General features: G+C 43.4%; 1 protein-coding gene and 1 long non-coding RNA gene across 15 annotated transcripts in view, besides 2 other annotated features; one reads left to right on the plus strand and one right to left on the minus strand.

The window, feature by feature from the left end:
- BABAM2 (BRISC and BRCA1 A complex member 2) overlaps positions 1-18,398 on the plus strand; it is a 450,193-nt gene that overhangs the window by 379,353 nt on the left and 52,442 nt on the right. The gene's annotated exons all lie outside the window — the stretch shown is intronic.
- On the minus strand, positions 505-14,951 carry LOC124907745 (uncharacterized). Its single transcript, XR_007086254.1, has 2 exons — positions 1,324-14,951; positions 505-840 (listed from the first exon to the last, which is right to left on the minus strand). It is a non-coding gene; the product is annotated as an uncharacterized LOC124907745 (long non-coding RNA).
- Positions 6,667-6,776: an enhancer, noted in NCBI's record as "active region_15514". NCBI's record gives its function as "activates an Ori minimal core promoter by ATAC-STARR-seq in GM12878 lymphoblastoid cells {active_cell/tissue: GM12878}" and the evidence as "EXISTENCE:reporter gene assay evidence [ECO:0000049][PMID:35858748]".
- Positions 7,375-8,574: an enhancer, noted in NCBI's record as "MED14-independent group 3 enhancer chr2:28498303-28499502 (GRCh37/hg19 assembly coordinates)". NCBI's record gives its function as "activates an origin of replication core promoter dependent on BRD2, BRD4, P300/CBP and CDK7 cofactors, and independent of MED14, by STARR-seq in HCT116 cells {active_cell/tissue: HCT116}" and the evidence as "EXISTENCE:reporter gene assay evidence [ECO:0000049][PMID:35650434]".

Consider the following 18,398-nt stretch of genomic DNA (forward strand, 5'->3'; position numbering starts at 1 on the left):
CAGGAGACACACGATAGAATTTTTATATAAAGAGCTCAAAAACAAGCAAAACCAGACAATCTGTCCATTTATTTATTAGGGATATAGAAATCTGCATTAAAGCCATGTTTCTAAAAAAGTGAAGGTGTCCTGGCCGCAGTGGCACATGCCTATAGTCCCAGCTACTTGGGGAGGCTGAGACAAGAGGATACGTTGAGCCTAGAAATTGAGTCTAGCCTATCAAGACTCAGTCTCTAAAAAACAACAAACAAAAATGAAGGAGTGATAAACAGGCATTTTAGGACAGTGATTATCTCTGGAGAGAGAGGCAGGGAGACAATGGAGAGAGAGGGATGGCAAGGTCGCTTCAGCTTGTGGCTCATGTCTTTGTTCTGAGAGGGAGCATAGATTCAGTCATGTTCTGTTTTTCTGCTGTGTTTCAGACCTTAAGTGTGTATTACAAGTATTCTTTGGTATGTGTCACATATTGCATAATTTTTAAAAGAATGAACCAAAACATTATAATTAGTAGTAATAAAGATAAGTCTTTATTAGTTCTAAGAATGTGACAAGGAACAGATCTATTGCTTGAGAAGGTAATTCTGATAAACTGGTTTTCCTAATGCTGTGGAGTTGACCCACACTGGGGTGGCTCTACCCAAGATCACAAATGCCGGCCCCCGTTGTTTGGATCAGCCCTCGTGCCCTGGTCTTGATCTTTTCTGGTCCTCCTGCAGTTTCCTTTAATTGCCTTGAAGTTTCCAAAAGTTCGTTACACTCATCCATTGACTCAATCATCTTCAGAATCCTAGTATGAAGTCTTGAGGTCCACTGTAGAGATTATTTGTCTGCGGAGAAATCCTACAAAGCTGTTATTGTGATCCTTGCCAATGAAAGGCAAGTTTTACATATCTAAATTTACTAAACACTATCCCTTTAAAAGTATCTCATACCTACAAAGATATAACCAAATCTAACATTTCAGCAAACAAAAGCTGAGGCTTGTAACCAACAGAAGTAATTGCTATACAGTTATCACGAGAAGTACATGCCCAGCTTCCAGGGTAACCACATTACTTAATAAACATATCAAATCTCTTTTATCTTAAAAGACCCAAAGAAACCACCCCAGTAATGGTTGCCAGCCCTGATCCATCCCTTATCTGTTGCTGGCAAACTGTCTGTAAATAGTCAATCCAGAACACTCCTCTAGGTTGTTTTTTCTTGCTCTCTCCCTTCCCCCTTCTCCTCTCCATCTTGGAAGTATTCGCCTTTGCAGTCTCCACCCTCTGTAGAGACTCTGTGCTCTCTGCACCCGGAATGAGTCAGCATGTGGATACATACCTGCATTTCTAGGGAAATGGACTGGGGTTATCAGAAAACTCAATCTGTCCAACCATGGATAAAAATCAAGACATTTTATTGCAACCCAGATAGTTAGCTCAGCAGCTGCACTCTGGAACATACAGTACAACTCCTTTGGGAAATACCTAGTTGGGAGTGACTTTCGGTCTCTTGGGTAAAATGTTCCCTTCTCATACAGCAAACCTTTTGTAAAAGGGAAACAGACTCCATCCAAACTGGGTGGTAACTGGAGATAAAGGCAGGCCACTCCTGTTTGAATGTTTGTCATTTTGATGAGGATTTTGTTTAACAAGGTTTCTACCTTATCTGTCTTCTTTCAGATTTACAGCTCCAGAGCCCATAAAAGGGAGGCCACAGATGTGAACATGGGCTGTGGAAAGATTAGAAACAAACTGAGGCTATTCAATAGAAATAATCTTGAGATATTTTGGATTTTTTCTTGTCATTTTTTTTTTTTTACATTGACAATGACATCAGGAGCTCTAATAGTATTTGACTGATAGTACTTAGTAGTACTTGGCCAACTATACATATTAGGAAAATGCTGGAAGGCATATTGTCTTGACATTATTTATAGCCTGTGTTCTATTTCCTTTACTCTATGCTGAGAAACAGGGTTAAGCCTATTATTATAATTTTATTAGAAATTATTTTATTGAACACCTGTTGGGCCAAACACTGTATCAGGTACTTGAATAAGATATGGTCCCTCCCTCATGAAATTTTTTTTTTAAGAGACAGGGTCTTGCTCTTTGACACAGGTTGGAGTATAGTGGTGCAATCATAGCTCACTGCTGCCTCAAACTCCTAGACTCAAGCCATCCTCCTGCCTCAGTCTCCTGAGTAGCTGTGGTTACAGGCACGTCCCAGCACACCTAGCTGATTTTTTATTTTTTGTAGAGACAGGGTTTTGCTTTGTTGCCCAGACTGGTCTCAAACTCCTGGCTTCAAGCATTCATCCTGCCACAGCCTCCCAAAGTGCTGGGATTACAGGCATGAGCCACTTTGCCTGGCCCCTCATGAAACTTAAAATTAAATTATCTCTTTAAAAAGGAGCAGGCCTAGGAACAAGCTCTTTAAGTAGTGGTGTCTGGCACCTATGTGCACACTCTGTGTGGTCTTTATGTTTTGGAGAGAGTTATGGCTGCTGCTGCTATTGGTCGTGTATTTGACTGTACCTGAACCACATACCACCTTCGTCTTTCCTGAACCAAGAGTCGACCTGCTGTTCACCCAGATGGCATGACTATTCCTTCAGTCTGTTGCTATCTTCTGCTGTTTCTACAGAAGAGCCTCAGCCCTGAATCCAGATCACACTAATAGTTGTTATTTATGAAACACTGCAACATAAAAGTCATGATTGCCGTTCTATAGCAGAGAGGTTTAGTGACTTGCCTAAGATCCCACAGGTGGTAAATGCAGAACCAAATTTAAACCAGTTCTCAAATGTCCAAATTCAAATGCAGCTCTTTCTCTTCTGCCTTGCTTTATCTTACTCACACAGTGATGTAATGCTAGTGTTTCTTGATCCTTATACTGATATGATCTTGCCCTCTTCCCTGGGATTCAGGAGGCAGGTCTACATGAGATGCAGGCACACCGAGTTAATGTGTACAGAATATGTTCCAGAGCCTTGGAGAAACAAAAGGCTATAGCGTGTCTTATTTGGTTCTTCCCAGTTTGGAAGATAGCTGTCCATAAGCACATAGCTAGCTCTCAGTGGGATGTCTAAGGTGTTTGGCAGTGTTTGAGATAAAAGGAGGCAGCTGCTTCACATATATGGACGTCTTCAGAAGCACACAGGTGTAAGGTCTTAGGATTTTCACCCAGCATCCCAAATAGAGGAGATTTTTGTAAATGCAAGGTGGTCGAGTGTGTTTGATTTGATTAGGCCTCAGGCTGGACAAGAGCCACTACCTCCCACCCAGGCAACTTCCTGCTGCACCCTGGATTTGTTCCTTCAAGGATTCCCCAGCCAGTCAGTGAACCAACATGATTTCCTCTCCTCGTGGCCTGGGCCCTCACAGGGACAGCTGTGCTTCCAATTCCAGTGACATGACTCTGTCACAGTCTTCAAATAATTTCTAGTTTTCTTTTTCAAAGAAAGAAATTTTGAGAGCTCTGTCCACACATTGTAAAGGAAACAACCCTCTTAAATATCCATGCCCTTTACAGTGAATATTCCATTGACATATTAAACCAGAGGCAGTCTCATGATTTTGAAAAGGATTTTGGATAAATATAGAAGGCATGTATCACCCCAAATCCATCCTTTATGGAGTCATTACTTAAAAGGGAAAGGGCCAACCAGGCAGGTTAACAATATGGTACAATACAGAAAGACTCTGCTTATCAGTTTCAAAATTGTACATTTAAAACAAGTTCTCAAGTTTCAGTTTCATTTTATGTATGCATTTATGCTCAAGCTTGGTAATTACCCTCAGCTCATGACATTTATACCAATCAGTAATGTTTAATTATCCCAGATGATTACTCCGTCAGTTCTAGGCACATGGTGGAATGTAGAGGTGGTTCCTACCTTCAAGAGCATTAACTTTCAGTTGGCATGTGTGGAGAGATGTGGTAGATACAAATACATTTTGGAAGGGGAGGGGAAGGAGAGTTATGTTGGCTGGTAGAGAATTGGGAGAATTCTTTTGGGAAAGCATCCAAGAGGAGGTGGTTTTAAGATTCCACTTTGGAGGCTGGGAATGATGAAGAGGAGACAAAAGATTCCTTCTGGGATTTAGACCAGCTTACTGTTCAAAAAGCAACAATGAAGGTCTGTGACCATAATATGTTCAGAACTTCAATTCAAAGGACAAATAGAAATCAAACACTTATCCATGAAAAAGTTGTAAAAACTAAATTAAATATCAAGTTTTTTGTTTTAGGTTTAGAAATGTGGTTGCTGGGTGTAATAATTTGGACATGTCATGGGAAAATGATCCTTTAGGCAAAATCCTTTAAAACTTGTAGCTTTGAGGAGGAAAGTGGAGTAGTGATGGAACCCCACATAACAAAAGGGACAGCCTGTTGCTTAGGCAAAGGCTGCAAGATAAGAGGAACGCGAACTGGCTCAACTCAAGGATTCAGACCTTGGTGTAATTCAGAACAGTCAAATGAAGGTGACTTCAGACTTCTGTGAAGCTCACTTTTGCTCCAAAGAGTGGTGGGAGCATAGCAGAAAGTCAAGAATTGGACAGAACTTTTTCAGTTTGACTGAAGACTCAGCGGGGCTCCACGTAAACCAACAGTTATTGAGCCTGTCCCATCCCAGAGGTACAGGATAATGCAAGATGGTCCCTGCTGTCAAGCTGCTCATTGCCTGGCAGGGAAGTTTCTGAGACCAAGAAAGCCCACAGTGGGATAGGGACTTCCGAGGGTTCTGTGGGAATCAGAAGGGAGCACCTCCCTCTGCGTGAGGGAGCTGGGGAAGGCTTGACAGAGAGGCCATTGAACTGGGGACTGACGTGGCTGGGACGACATGTGGAGGGATACAGGTTTGGGAAATGGAGAGGCTGGGATCTGTCTCACTGGAGGAGGGCAAGTGCAGGAAGTCATCCATGGCCACACTGCTTGCAGCCAGTCTTCTGGAATGCCGTGGAACTTTCTTACTCTGGCTGTGAAGGGTAAAAATAAGAGCTAGCACAGGCACATGGAGCTGATACGACGTCCCTGTTTAGGGCACAGTTCTTACCCAATTCCACGGACCGAACATTTTCTGCTCCATCCAGCTTTTAATGGCAGACCAGTTTCTATGAACTGAGGCTTCAGCCCTTGGAATGATGTCTCATTTGCCCGTCTCTTTTCTCCTTCTTAACCACTTAGGTACCACATTGTACAGTGCAGTGGGTGCAGTGGTTCATGCCCTGACTACGTCAGAACCCCTGAGAGCCTTGGCAGATTCTGAGGACTGAGCACCTCCTGCCTTTCTTCTCTTCTCTCCTCTCCCTGTTCCACTGTTCAATCTGAAAGGGGTTAGGGAGGATTGGTTGCTGAACTTGTGTGGTTTTAATAAAATAGCTTCAGGCCAGGCCCAGTGGCTCACGCCTCTAATCCCAGCACTTTGGGAGGCCGAGGTGGGAGGATCACTTGAGGTCAGGAGTTCGAGACCAGCCTGGCCAACATAGTGAAACCCCGTGTCTACTAAAAATACAAAAATTAGCTGCATGTAGTGGCATGGACTTGTAGTCCCAGCTTCTTGGGAGGATGAGGTACGAGAATTGCTTGAACCTGGGAGGCAGAGGTTGCAGTGAGCCGAGATTATACCACTGCACTCCAGCCTGGGCAACAGAGCAAGACTGTCTCCAAAAAAAATAAAAAATAAAACAGCTTCATGGGTAAATCTGATACCCAGCAAGTGTGGAGGCTACACAGGCAGTCAAAGGAGCACCCATCTTAGTCAGGAAACTGGGTTAACTTCTCAGCCTCACCACGCAGTGGCTCCGAGATTCAGCTTCCTCGTCTGTGAAATGAGATTGACACTTACCCTGCCTAGCTCATGGAGGTTTGTGAGGATTAAATCACATGAAAGCAAAGGGGAAGGCGTCATGTGCTATAGAAATGCAAGGTGTTACTCATTCCTGTGTTTGCCACTCCCGTGCCTTCACCCTTGCTTATAACCTGTCACCTCCAGGACTAGCTCACTGGCCAGCTGGTTTGTCTGTGGCTCTTGGGCCTTGCCACCACATTAATCATTTCAAGACACCACCTTTATCTGGCGGCCTTCCCCAGTAGACAGGCTCACCTTCCCCATCCAGCTTTCTCTCCCACTCAGCCTTGGCCTCTTTGTTGACCCTTCTTGCTTTTTCTCCTTGACCTCCTCATCTTTCTTGCACCATTTCTTAAAAGCTGTCTTCAGCTTCACTGTCTAACCGAGCACTCCCACCTGAATAACACTTGATCCAAATAACGTAATTATGAGATCTGTTATCTTGAATGGTTCCTTAATTGTCATATGTATTTGCTTCATTATTCTGCTTAATTTGCTTACTGAGGTCCAGGACTAAATCTAAACCATGTTTTGTTTTGTTTTTTGAGACAGAATCTCATTCTGTTGTCAGGACCAGAATGCAGTGGTGCGATCTTGGCTCACTGCAGCCTTAACCTCCTAGACTCAGGCAATCCTCCCACCTCAACCCCCTATGCCAGTAGCTGGGACTACAGGTGCACCCACCATGCCCAGCTAATTTTTTGTGTTTTTAGTAGAGACAGGGTTTTGCCATGTTGCCCAGGCTTCTAAACCATGTTTTAACTCTTTGTTATGCACAGCGCCTGGCCCGGTGTTAGGCACTAGACAAGAGCTCAGTAACCACTTGCTGAAATGGGAGAGCTGAGTGGTCAGAGCACCTTGAAGTCTGTGTAGCACTTGCATGTACAGTGTCCCTTTTCATCGTCACAGCCCTGAGAGGTAAATGGTGTGACTCTTCCCATTTTGCAAATGAGAAAAGAGAAACTTAGGAGAGGTTATGTAACATCAACTTTGTGGGCTGAGGCTGAGTGAAGACCTCGCAGAAGAGACCAGACCCAGCATGCTCCAGTAGCTCCACTGCAGGGGGTGGCTGCTTACGAGGACAGAGAGCAGAATTCAGACGACTCCAGCTGACCTACTTGGTGCAAGTCAAGTGAATACTAGTCGGGAGGGATTAGATGACTCAGCCTCTGCCTTCGTTGGAGTCAGGAAGTAGGCTTTGCAGTCCATTTCCTGGGGAATTTTCAGATGGACCAGTGATTTCATTTTCCTCTTCTAAAGCACCCCCATGCACAGGGAAAGGTTGTTCACGTGGCCATTTGGATGAAGCCAACGGATCTGATGTCTTAAAGGAGAAGCTGAAACAGCAGTGGAAACTTTCTAGGCCTGTTGGTATTAGTAATTTCATTCCTGGCCAAACATGAATGAGAAATCCTTCTAGTCCACTTTGACTGAGGCTAGAGTGTGGATTAACAGTGCTTTGATATTTCAGTATTGCTGCCCAGGTTGTGAAGGTATAAGCCTCATGCAGGTCACCTGCTCTTGCCTCCATTGTACCTATTGCCTAACTGGGATAGGCCTGGGGTGGGGCTGCTGAGAGCTGACAATGCCAGGCCAGGAAAGGCAAGCTAAAGACCAGCAGGCAGGCCTCGGGGTTGGAAAGCTACACAGTAAACGGGTGGAGTACCAAAGCTTAGTTGTGTGTCTAGAGAATTCAGGGTGTGGTGAGTGATCAGCTCCTGGAAGAGCAAAGATTAGTATTTAATACATATGCATTTATTAGCGTGGCTGGGTCTCTCGTCAAAAATGTCATAATTTCACAGATCAGGATTTTAAAGCAAATAGAATTATTGATATATATCTCTTCCAACAGCCAATAAACATCCCGCAGAGAGGACAGCTTACGCATGGGCTCACACAAAGAAAATTGCAGAGTCTTTGCTTAAGCTACAGCCTGAAATATTAAAATTCTGATTTTCATGCGCTGTTAGAAATAGTTTTCAAAGAATTCCTTCCTCCAGCCCCATCACAACCCCTGCCCATGTGAGAGGTTAGGAGTAAATCATATGTTTTTTAAAACATTTGCTGAAACCTCCTCCCTTTTCCAAGTCTACCAAATTTTTATCTCAAAAAAAAAAAAAAGAAAGAAAGAAAAAAATGGGACTAATATGACAACAAGATTTTTACCTTCACAGTAAATAGTACAATTTAGCTGAGTAACTTGTGGAAGCTTGTTAGGTTGAAGTGACTCACTTGCGTAGATGAAGTTATTTTTAGAGATGTAATTTGTACTGTTTAGAAAAGAATAAAGAGATGGTAAAAGGCTAGATCGCTCATTATAGTTTACAGAGCTCATGAACCCAGCATCCATGCAAAAGATGACTAAGCAAGGGGTCGGTTGGTACTTTCTCTCAGAATTTTACAGATGTGAGTCATCCACTTTAGTCTGCAGACACAGCACCGAGATACCTGTGACTCAGCTCTCATTTAGAAAAAGCCCTAGAATTCAATTCTGATACACTTTTATAGTTAAGTAGTGAGGAAATTACATACTGAAGCAAAATATGCCTTTGTAACGCGCAGCCGTGGGATGTTTTTAGCAAAGACTGATTTATCTTCATCTCTGGCCTTTGAAAGAATCGACCTGTGATCCACGCTGGGTAACGTGCCCATTGAGCCTGCTGGTACACATCACAGTGCCCACCTTCTTCGTGTTTGGCTCACAACCCAAGTACTAAATTGTCCTCAATAGAAATCTCAGCCTCACCCTTTCTACACTTGGATGCCCCAGCACTAAGGCCCACTTCCTTTAACCAAATACATGTACATATATGTGTTCGTATATATGAAAATCTTCTGCCTAAAATATTAAAATTCTAGTTTTCATAAGCTGGCAGAAATAGCTTGCAAAGGCTTCATCTCCTTCACTCTTTACGTATGTTAGGGGTTAGAAGGAATAAAATCATGTTTTCCTACAGTATTCTCATATTTTTAGTAAACCCTGCACAAAACATACATACAGATGATGAGCATTATCTTTACACATTAGCAGACGGCAGAGTGAGCCCATGTTCTCTGTGCAGGGCCATTGCTTTGTTCTGAGGCGCAGGGCTCTGCTGGCCTAGTGACCCTCCCCGTGCAGCCTCATGCTTGGCTATCTCCCTCGTCACTGACACACACTGATGACATAGCCTGTTTGGAGTTAAGCCTCAGAACGTAACCTGTCCATTTATTCATTTATTTTTAGACAGAGTCTGGCTCCATCGCCCAGGCTGGAGTGCAGTGGGGCGACCTCGGCTCACTGCAACCTCTGCCTCCTGGGTTCAAGCGATTCTCCTGCCTCAGCTTCCCGAGTAGCTGGGACTACAGGTGCCCGCCACCACACCTAGCTAATTTTTGTATTTTTAGTGCAGACAGGTTTCACCATGTTGGCCAGGCTGGTCTCAAACTCCTGACCTCAAGTGATCCTCCAGCCTCATCCTCCCAAAGTGCTGGGATTACAGACGTGAGCCACTGTTCCCGGCCCATAATCTGTCCTTTTAAATATATGGAAAGTGGTCCCTTGTAGTTTGCAGACACATCAATAGATTATTCATAACCAACAAAGGATTTTGTTTATTATATTTGCCAAAGAAACATGGACATGGTTGCAAAAGCAAATACTTCACAAAGATGTATAATGAAAAGCAAGAGTACCCCGCCCCATGCCTGCCCTTTCACAGCTGCTTTTAACCACTTCTGGTGCTTCACGGTTGCCTCCGTAACCAGCTGACTGTTTTGTTCCTCACCTGCTATGTCTGTAGCACTATTACCAAGAGCGTTCGGGCATGCAGAGGTTAAAGTCTGGTCCTATTGTTAAGGAGAAAAGCCTTGTGTACCTTCAAGTCAACTCAGCAAACATTTGAGTATCTACTATGGACCAACGTCTAGGTTAAGCCATGTGGTCACAGAAATGGATAGCTACACTAAGGAGTTTGTACTCGGGTAAGGGAGACAGGCATGCAAACACTGCGTGGAAAATGCCATAATACATGTGTAGAAACCCCCTCAGAAGGGTTTTACACATATGTCCTAGAGCTCAGTCTTGGAAGTGCAATTAGAAATCTGGTAGGTAGATAAAGAGGAAAGGATGTCCAAGGCAGAGAGAACAGTGTATTCGTGGGCTGATGCAATCCATTCCAAATATTGGGAATAATTCATAAAATCTGATTTTTAGGATAAGTGAGTTAAGGAAATAATGTGGAGATGAGACAGGAAAGAAATGCACCTAGTTATAAAGACCCTTTTATATACACCGTTCAAAATATATCCTATTACTGATGGAAAGCTTTGGGAGTATTTTGAACAGGGATGTGGCATTTTCTCTATTATACTGTAAGTCCAATGGCAGAGGGGAGGATGAATTCAAGTGGAAGAAGCTGGGGTTTGATAAACCACTTGGGAAACTGGTTCAGGAAAGATAATATGAGGTACTGAAACAGTGGGAATAGGGAGGAAGAGGAAAGGAGAGATTCTAGAAATACTTCAGAGTAGAATCAAAAGGACTTGGTGAACACTCAGATTTTGGAGGTGAGGGAGAGGGAGGAATTGCAGATTACTGTATAACTCCTAGCTAGGGTAGCTAAGGAAAGAGTGGAAATTTTAAGAGTACCAGAATCTGGAGGAAAGTGAGTGAGTTTGAATATATTGAGTTTGAGGTGTTTATGTGATAAGCAGATGGAGATATTCAGTAAGTAGCCAAAATTGTGAGACTAAAGTGGTGGCAGTAGAAGCCACAGAGCTGGTAGAATTCCCACAGGATGAATCTGTGATATGAGGGGACTGAAAACAGATCTGGGAAAGGCCAGCAGCTGGCGATGGGCTGAAGATTCCTGATGGAGACCAATCAGCAGCAGAGGGGTGAGATGAGAACCAGGAGAGAGGGCACCACGAAGGCAGCAGAGGACCGGATCTGGGGAGGTGCAGGTGACAAGGGAGAGGAGCATGAAAAGCATTTGCTTCAGTAATGATGGTGCCCATTGATGGTGTAGAAAAAGAAACACTCATGCCTTAGAGTAGGCGGAAGCCAGATGTGAATGGGCCACAGAATTCATTCACAGTGAAGGTGAGCCCGTCCTCTTTTGAGAATTTGGGGAATTAAAAGAAGAGTAAATGGGCAATAGCTAGTAGGGATGATAGTCAAGAGGCTGCTTTACAGGATGAGAGAACCTTCAGCATGATGAGAAGGAGCCGGTGGAAGAGAGGTTGGAATTCCTTGGTATGGAGTTCGGCTTCCTCTGAGCAAAGAGGTTCTGCTGCCTGAGTGGCCCCTTGGAGCCACTGAGGAGTTTGCCTTTTGCTTTCTCTGCCACCACCAGGTGAATAGGCGGCTTGGGAGGTGAAGCCTAGAGTTACCCTTGGACCTGAGGTTTCGTCAGCCGGAAACCTCCAGGCAGTTCAGCAGTGATGCACATCAGCAAAGCAGGGCCATCCATCTTGTGAGCTGCTTTTTGTTATCTCCACTTTGATTATCTCCTAAATAAAAATGGCACAGTATGAAACAAAATAAAGCCTGAGTAGGAGCCAGTCAGTCCTTCCTCCAAATCCCAGCAGCCTTTCGTGCAGCCTCCTGTTTTAGCATTTCTCATACTATATTGGGATTATTTTGTTTACTGACTTTCCCAAATGATGAGCCCTCTGAGGCAGAGTTCATTTTTGCTTCATCTCGAAATCCCCAACTTCTGTATTCAAACTCCTTACCCCTTACCATAAGGGTTAGTGCAGACAGGGCAGCTCAAAGGCTTTTTTTTTTTTTTTTTTTTTTGAGATGGAGTTTCACTCTTGTTACCCAGGCTGGAGTGCAATGGCATGATCTCAGCTCACCGCTACCTCTGCCTCCTGGATTCAAGCGATTCTCCTGCCTCAGCCTCCCGAGTAGCTGGGATTTACAGGCATGCGCCACCACGCCTGGCTAATTTTGTATTTTTAGTAGAGATGGGGTTTCTCCATGTTGGTTAGGCTGATCCGAAGCTCCTGACCTCAGGTGATCTGCCTGCCTTGGCCTCTCCCAAAGTGCTGGGATTACAGGCATGAGCCACCACGCCCGGCAGAGGCTTTTTAAGTAAATGTAAAAACTCACATACCTTTTCTTATTTGACTTATAAGAACGCATTTGGTCCTAGTCTCATATCAAATCATAACTAATTTTTTTTTTTTTTGAGACGGAGTCTTGATCTGTTGCCCAGGCTAGAATGCAATGGTTTGAACACAGCTCACTGCAGCCTTGACCTCCTGGGCTCAAGCAGTCCTCCCATCTCAGCCTCTCAAGCAGCTGGGACTACAGGCACAGGCCACCACACTCAGCACATTTTTTTTTATTTTTTGTAGAGATGGGATCTTGCCATGTTGCCCAGGCTAGTCTCAAATTCCCTGGGCTCAAGCAATCCTGCTTTAGCCTCCCAAAGTGCTGGGATTACAGGTGTGAGCCACTGAGCCCAGCCTCATAACTGATTTTTAAGTATTTAAAAATCCCACAGGTCATTCTTTAACATGCTAAAAGTTGCTCTAACTCTCAGTGGTCTAGAGTCCCATGGTCAAGAATACTCATGGTCACCTTCTTTGAGTTTCAGACAAACAACTCTCTTTTTGTACAAGTCTTAAACTGCTCTGCTCTTTAAACCAAATACATACACACATACACAGATATAGTTAGATACAGATGTGTGTGCATATAAAAATATGACACTCCTTAGTAAAATATTCCTCTAGACCTGGGGTTCACACATCCCTCCTCCTGATCCGTGCTGGTGCCTACTCAGGCACTACTTTGCAGATTTCTCTTCTATGAGCTAAGGTTTTTCTGAGCTAAGGTCAAGCGGTGACTTAGCAAGTTGAACGTGTAATGAACCAAACCTGTTTTTCCATGGAACCAATAATAATTAATCTAGAATGAGCCATTTGGCCTCCAGAAACAAAGAGATTTCCATCACAGAGTGTTGGTGAGGGGTCATGAGTAAGGCGGGGGGGCAGTGAGAGCAGCTGTTTTATTGTGAGAGTAGCAGGCAGGCTGAATGAGAAGGGGTTAGCTGTTGAGTCCACATCAGGCTCTGCTGCAGTGTGGCCAGGGTTAAGGTACTTTATTTTAAAGCCCTTTGGAACTTTCCTTTCTCTTTTATTTCCAATCTGATTTTTTTCATCTGTCCTTAAATGCTCTGTGTATATGAACTTCAACTTCTTTATTCAATCCCTAGTCTTTTAACCTGAGCTTGATGGGCTATACCACACCTTAGAAGGAAAGGCTACCTAGGCCTCCCCTGGGCTGCCCCCACCGGCATTCAAGGATTGTATTTTTATCCAGGAGACCTGGGCTGGTCCCTATGGAGGAGGACAAGGGGCACAATTAAGGTAATTAAACTGGCCTCCACGTGTAGGACAGATAGAAGGACAATTCTTGGAGGTAGACAAAGCTTACTGAATTGGTGTGATGTGATTGGTATTTAGGATTAACCAAAAGTATATTTTGCTGTATGAAATAGGTCAATACTTTAAAAAATATACATTCCCATTCTGTTTATCCATGGCGGAAGTAAATGTGACCCCCCCGAGCCCCACCAGTCTCCTCCCAGCAGGATATTGTCCTGTCCTCTTCAGAATGGGAGCCTTTCCAGAGATGGAAGCAGCAGAATGAAGAGTACTCAAAGTGACTCAAAGGTTTTGCATTTGGCAGAATATTAGACCCAATCTGATGGTGAATGGGGAGCAGGTTGTAACTTTTATTTCGGACGTGTAGTATAATTCTTCTCCAGTTAGTACCAGAACATTCTAGTGGCATCAGAGCCACTGGATTTAACATCTGAAGGCTTGAATTCAAGGCCAGCTCTGTCACTTAACTAATTCTAAACAAGCTACTTTGTGTTCCTGAGTTTCAGCGTTCTTGTCTGTGAATGGGATGGTATGCCCATCTTGAAGACACAAATGAGACAATACACATTTGACCTGTAAAGTTTATATGAGGACATCCTCCAGGCCTCTGAAATTATCAGACTGGAGCAGAGGTGAGCAGTCAGGGAAGGATATGGAGATTTTGAAGGCTTCAAAGGTTACTGACAGATGAGACTTTCTGAAAAGGAAGTGCTGAAGTGCCAAGCCTTCAGGCTTAACAGGTCCCTCAGCTGAGCTTTGGGAGTGAGGGCATGTTAAGCAGATGGAGAAAAAGAGGCAGTAAAAAATTTAAAAGGAAGAAAAGTAGCAGATCAATACAGTGTTGTGGAAACCATGGGAGAAGAACAGAAGTGAGCAACAGTGTCAGATGCCATTAAAACCCCGTAGATATAACCGTAAGATGTTTTCCCAACCAAAAGGAAGAAAACAAGGACATGGAAACATCAAAAATAAAAATTCTTAAAAGTCTGAGCTCATCATGCCCTTGAGCTTAACTTGGTCTGAAAGACAGACATCATACTCCTCCTCTGGTCCAAAACGACTGTGTTTATCAATCTCTCAGACTTTTGTGCTTTCTTGATCAACAGCCAGAGATGTGCTTGCCTATAGCAACCCCTGGCTGAAATGGTAGATCAGCCAAAATGCCCAAGCAGAAGCTCTTTCCACAATGTCAGAAACAAGCAGTAAATCACATTTATAGCACTTGTAGATACAGCATGGGCTCCAGACACAGCAGGCAGGGTCGAATCCTGGCCCCATCTCCTCACAGCTTCAAGTTCTCTGGCTTGCCCAAAGCCAGGCTTACTCCTAGTAGAAAGGGGCGAGGGGGAATCATATGGCAGAAAGTATCCAGCACATTGTAGGTATTCAATAAATGCTGATTTTCCTCCTTTTTCTTAGCATTAAGAAAGTATTTATAGCCGGGCACGGTGGCTCATGCCTGTAATCCCAGTATTTTGGGAGGCCGAGGTGGGCGAATCACGAGGTCAGGAGTTCAAGACCAGCCTCGCCAACATGGTGAAACCCCATCTCTACTAAAAATACAAAAAATTAGCTGGGCATGGTGGTGGGCACCTGTAATGTCAGCTACTCGGGAGGCTGAGGCAGGAGAATCACTGAACCCAGGAGGCAGAGGTTGCAGTGAGCCAAGATCACACCACTACATTCCAGCCCAGGCAGCAGAGCGAGACTCCGTCCCAAAAAAAAAAAAAAAAAAAAAGGAATGAAAACAAAACAAAAAACCCCATGCCTAACTATTATCTGTAGTAAGAGATCTTTCAAGCACAGATGAATCAGTAACCCAAAGTCGTACAGCTATTGTAGTGGCAGTTACTGTGTTCCTGCAGGGAGATGTACTGTTAAATACAGTGGCCTTGTAGTGTGTATGTACCTCACTGGGCTTGGAATCAAGACCCTGGGCTTCTCTCTGTGGCTGCTGAAGCAGTTGAGGCAGTTCACCACTCTATAGCGTAATCTCATTTGTAAAACGGAGAGTTGATTTCTTGGGCTCCTTTTTGAACTGTGCTTTAGCAAGTATATCCTCTGTTATGACAAGACTCAGAGATTTTTAAGTAAATGTCTCACCTAGCTACAGTACACCCTGTAAGTACACTTGTCAAAAGATAGCCAGAGGAAGTAACTCAAGAGGGTCACCACTTCTCTGTATTTCACCCTCAGGCCTGGCTCTCGCCTTCTAGTAAACTTGGTGGCTGGTTCCCAAGTCCCTTGGAACATTCTGTGTTTTGTTTGTTTGTTTACTTGTTAGTTTGTTTCAAGTCCCTTGCAGTTTAACTACCCAGAGAAGGTCTGTGGTACATAGATACACTAACCTTGTAAGAGTACAAGAAGAGTAACCTAATAGCCTGGGCCCAGGAGGTAGGTGTGGAGGGAACCAGGAAACTACAGATATAGGCCACACTTAGCTTAGGGACTGGCGTGTCTGATTAGGCCTTGGTGTCACAATTGTATGGCCCACTATCAGTATTGATATTCTTAAATTTGACTTTGAGTCATTTAGAAAGGGATAGGGGAGCAGTAAATGTAAGGTCCATTTTATAGAGATTTTTATCAAAAACAATGAAAAATAAAAGTTTTAGAGCTTTCAAAAACAAACCCCAGTTATCTGGAAAGCACAGCTGTCAGAAATGGTTTACTGACTGTGAATATGCATGCTTTTCTTCGGATTAACAATGATTCAATACCTTTGATTGAAAAGTATCTTATTCCTTTAAATTTGGATGTACAAGTCAGGCAACTCACTCAAGTCAAGGGCTTGCCTCAACATGATCACCTTATGTTTGCACAGTTTATTCTCTTTGAGTTAGTTAAATTTCAGAATAATATGACAATTTAAAAACAGTATTTTAGGCAGCAATCATACCTTTATCTCAAATGAAATTTCTAATCAGAATTGCTATCAAAGAGGAACATTAATTTCCATTCCCCTGCTGCCTGTCCCACCCATGCTCATAGAAGAAGTAATGACCAAGGAGCTAGTCAGAAAACAGTAGCAAGAAAACAAAACAAAAAGCTGGACAATTCACAGGCCAAAGAGGTAATCCTAAATATACAAAGATTGATTATATTGTGGGTCTTTAAAAAAAAAAAAACACTCACAAATAAATTGGTTAGCAAAAAAAGAAAGAGCCTTTATCTTAAAGAAAGCACCTATGAGAATGGAGAGAATATTGCATGATCAAAGCACAAAGGAAAAACTGTCTGACCGAGGTTTCATCAGGCTTCCTCTCTGTTCAGATCTTTTTCTGATCTGTGGTCCGGTTTGGCTGCAGGACCCCATTTGACCGTAGATTCTCTAGAGCTATGATTTTTTATTTGCTGGAAGAAGATTGTAGAATTAAAAATGAAGAGTTCCAAAGGACTCTGAATTTACCTCAAATAAATAGATGGACAAAACTAAGTTGAAAGCTTAGTTTTCAACTTGTTTTGAAAGTTGTTTTGAAAGCTTGGTTTGTATTTTCTCAGCTGGAAATCAGGCTAGGAAAAGAAATTATATAGACTCAGGTTTGTTTGTCTGTTTTAATTGCTTCTAAGAGAAAAGTGAGTAATAATAGGTATCATTTATGAAGACCTGCTATGTGCCAAGTATTCTGCACATATATTCATTATACCATGTAAACCATCCAGGAGCCTTGCAAGGTAGGTATTATCCCATTTTAAAGATGAGAAAACCTAGACTTAGAGAGTATAGTCAGTTGCCTGAGGTCAGGTAGCAACTGGCAAAGGAGGAATCAAGCCCAGATCTGTCAAATTCCAAACACCGTTTTCTTCCCAGTATGCCATCCCTCCCATCCTTAGTTCTTTAGGTTGCAGCCTGTATTTATTGAGCACTTTTCTATGTGCAAGACTGTATGGCGTGCTTTACCTGCTTCATTTCCAACCCTGAGCTTAAAGTTTTTTCCAGTCTTGGGAATGGGAAAAGAGGAGCACAGAGGTCAGTTCACCTGCCAAAGCTTGCCCACCTCGAGTACACATGCCTTCCTCACTCAACACTCGGCTTCACCCAGATAAGCTGTTCCCCACCCATCTTGCAGACTGAGTGGCTGATTTTTTAACATTTCTGGGGAAAATATCCCCATTCCACACATTCTAGTGGGTCAGACATTGTCCTATAATTGTAATATCCCTGCACGGTATAAGTCCAGCATGGAAACTGCTTGGAAAGGATAATGTAGAAATAAAAATAGGTTAATGAAGGTTTCTGCATGGGGGAATGACATGGTGACCAGTGCTTCTAACCAAGTCTTATGAGGAAACATGTAATCCTTCTGCCAGATATTTGATTTAAACTGTGTCCTGTGTCAGCCTTACATCCAATCCCAAACTTCAGGCCTGACTCTCTGGATTTTTCACATAGTAAGTCCATTATCAAGCCTTCCACTCAGCATCTCCCTTGAACATAAGAGATGTGCAAATAAGTCTTTTTTTTTTTTAATGGAAACGGGATCTTGCTATGTTGCCCAGGCTTATCTCAAACTCCTGGGCTCAAGCGATCCTCCCGCCTAGGCTCCCAAAGTGCTAGGATTACAGGCATGAGCCACCACACCGGCTGATAAGTCTTAAGAGATGTTTTGTAGAGAGGAATTGGTTCCTATACTGAGAAGTAAATAGTCACCCCCTTCTACTAACGAATAATAACTTTTTTTTTTTTTTTTTTGAGACAGAGTCTCATTCTGTCACCCAGGCTGGAGTGCAGTGGTACAATCTCGGCTCACTGCAACCTCTACCTCCTGGGTTCAAGCAATTCTCCTGCCTCAGCGTCCTGAGTAGCTGGGATTACAGGCAGGCACCACCACGCCCAGCTAATTTTTGTATTTTTATTAGAAACAGGGTTTCACCATGTTGGCCAGGGTGGTCTCGAACTCCTGACCTCGTGATCCACCCATCTCGGCCTCCCAAAGTGTTGGGATTACAGGCGTGAGCCACCGCGCCTGGCCTTATTTTTGATTTGTACATACTTTCCAAAGCATTCTCCATTCTAGAGGATTGTACCATGCTGGGGGCATTATAGGAAAGTGTCTGCCACACTGGAATGAGTGGTGTGAGCTTTTTTCCCTAGAAATGTTCAAGGGTAATGCTCATAGAAAGACGTTCACAGTCCTTCACTATGTGTTCAGAGCACTCCACAGTTTGCAATCTTTAT

This window comes from Homo sapiens, chromosome 2 (assembly GCF_000001405.40).
Source record: "Homo sapiens chromosome 2, GRCh38.p14 Primary Assembly".
In the NCBI taxonomy this organism is placed as follows: Eukaryota; Metazoa; Chordata; class Mammalia; order Primates; family Hominidae; genus Homo; species Homo sapiens.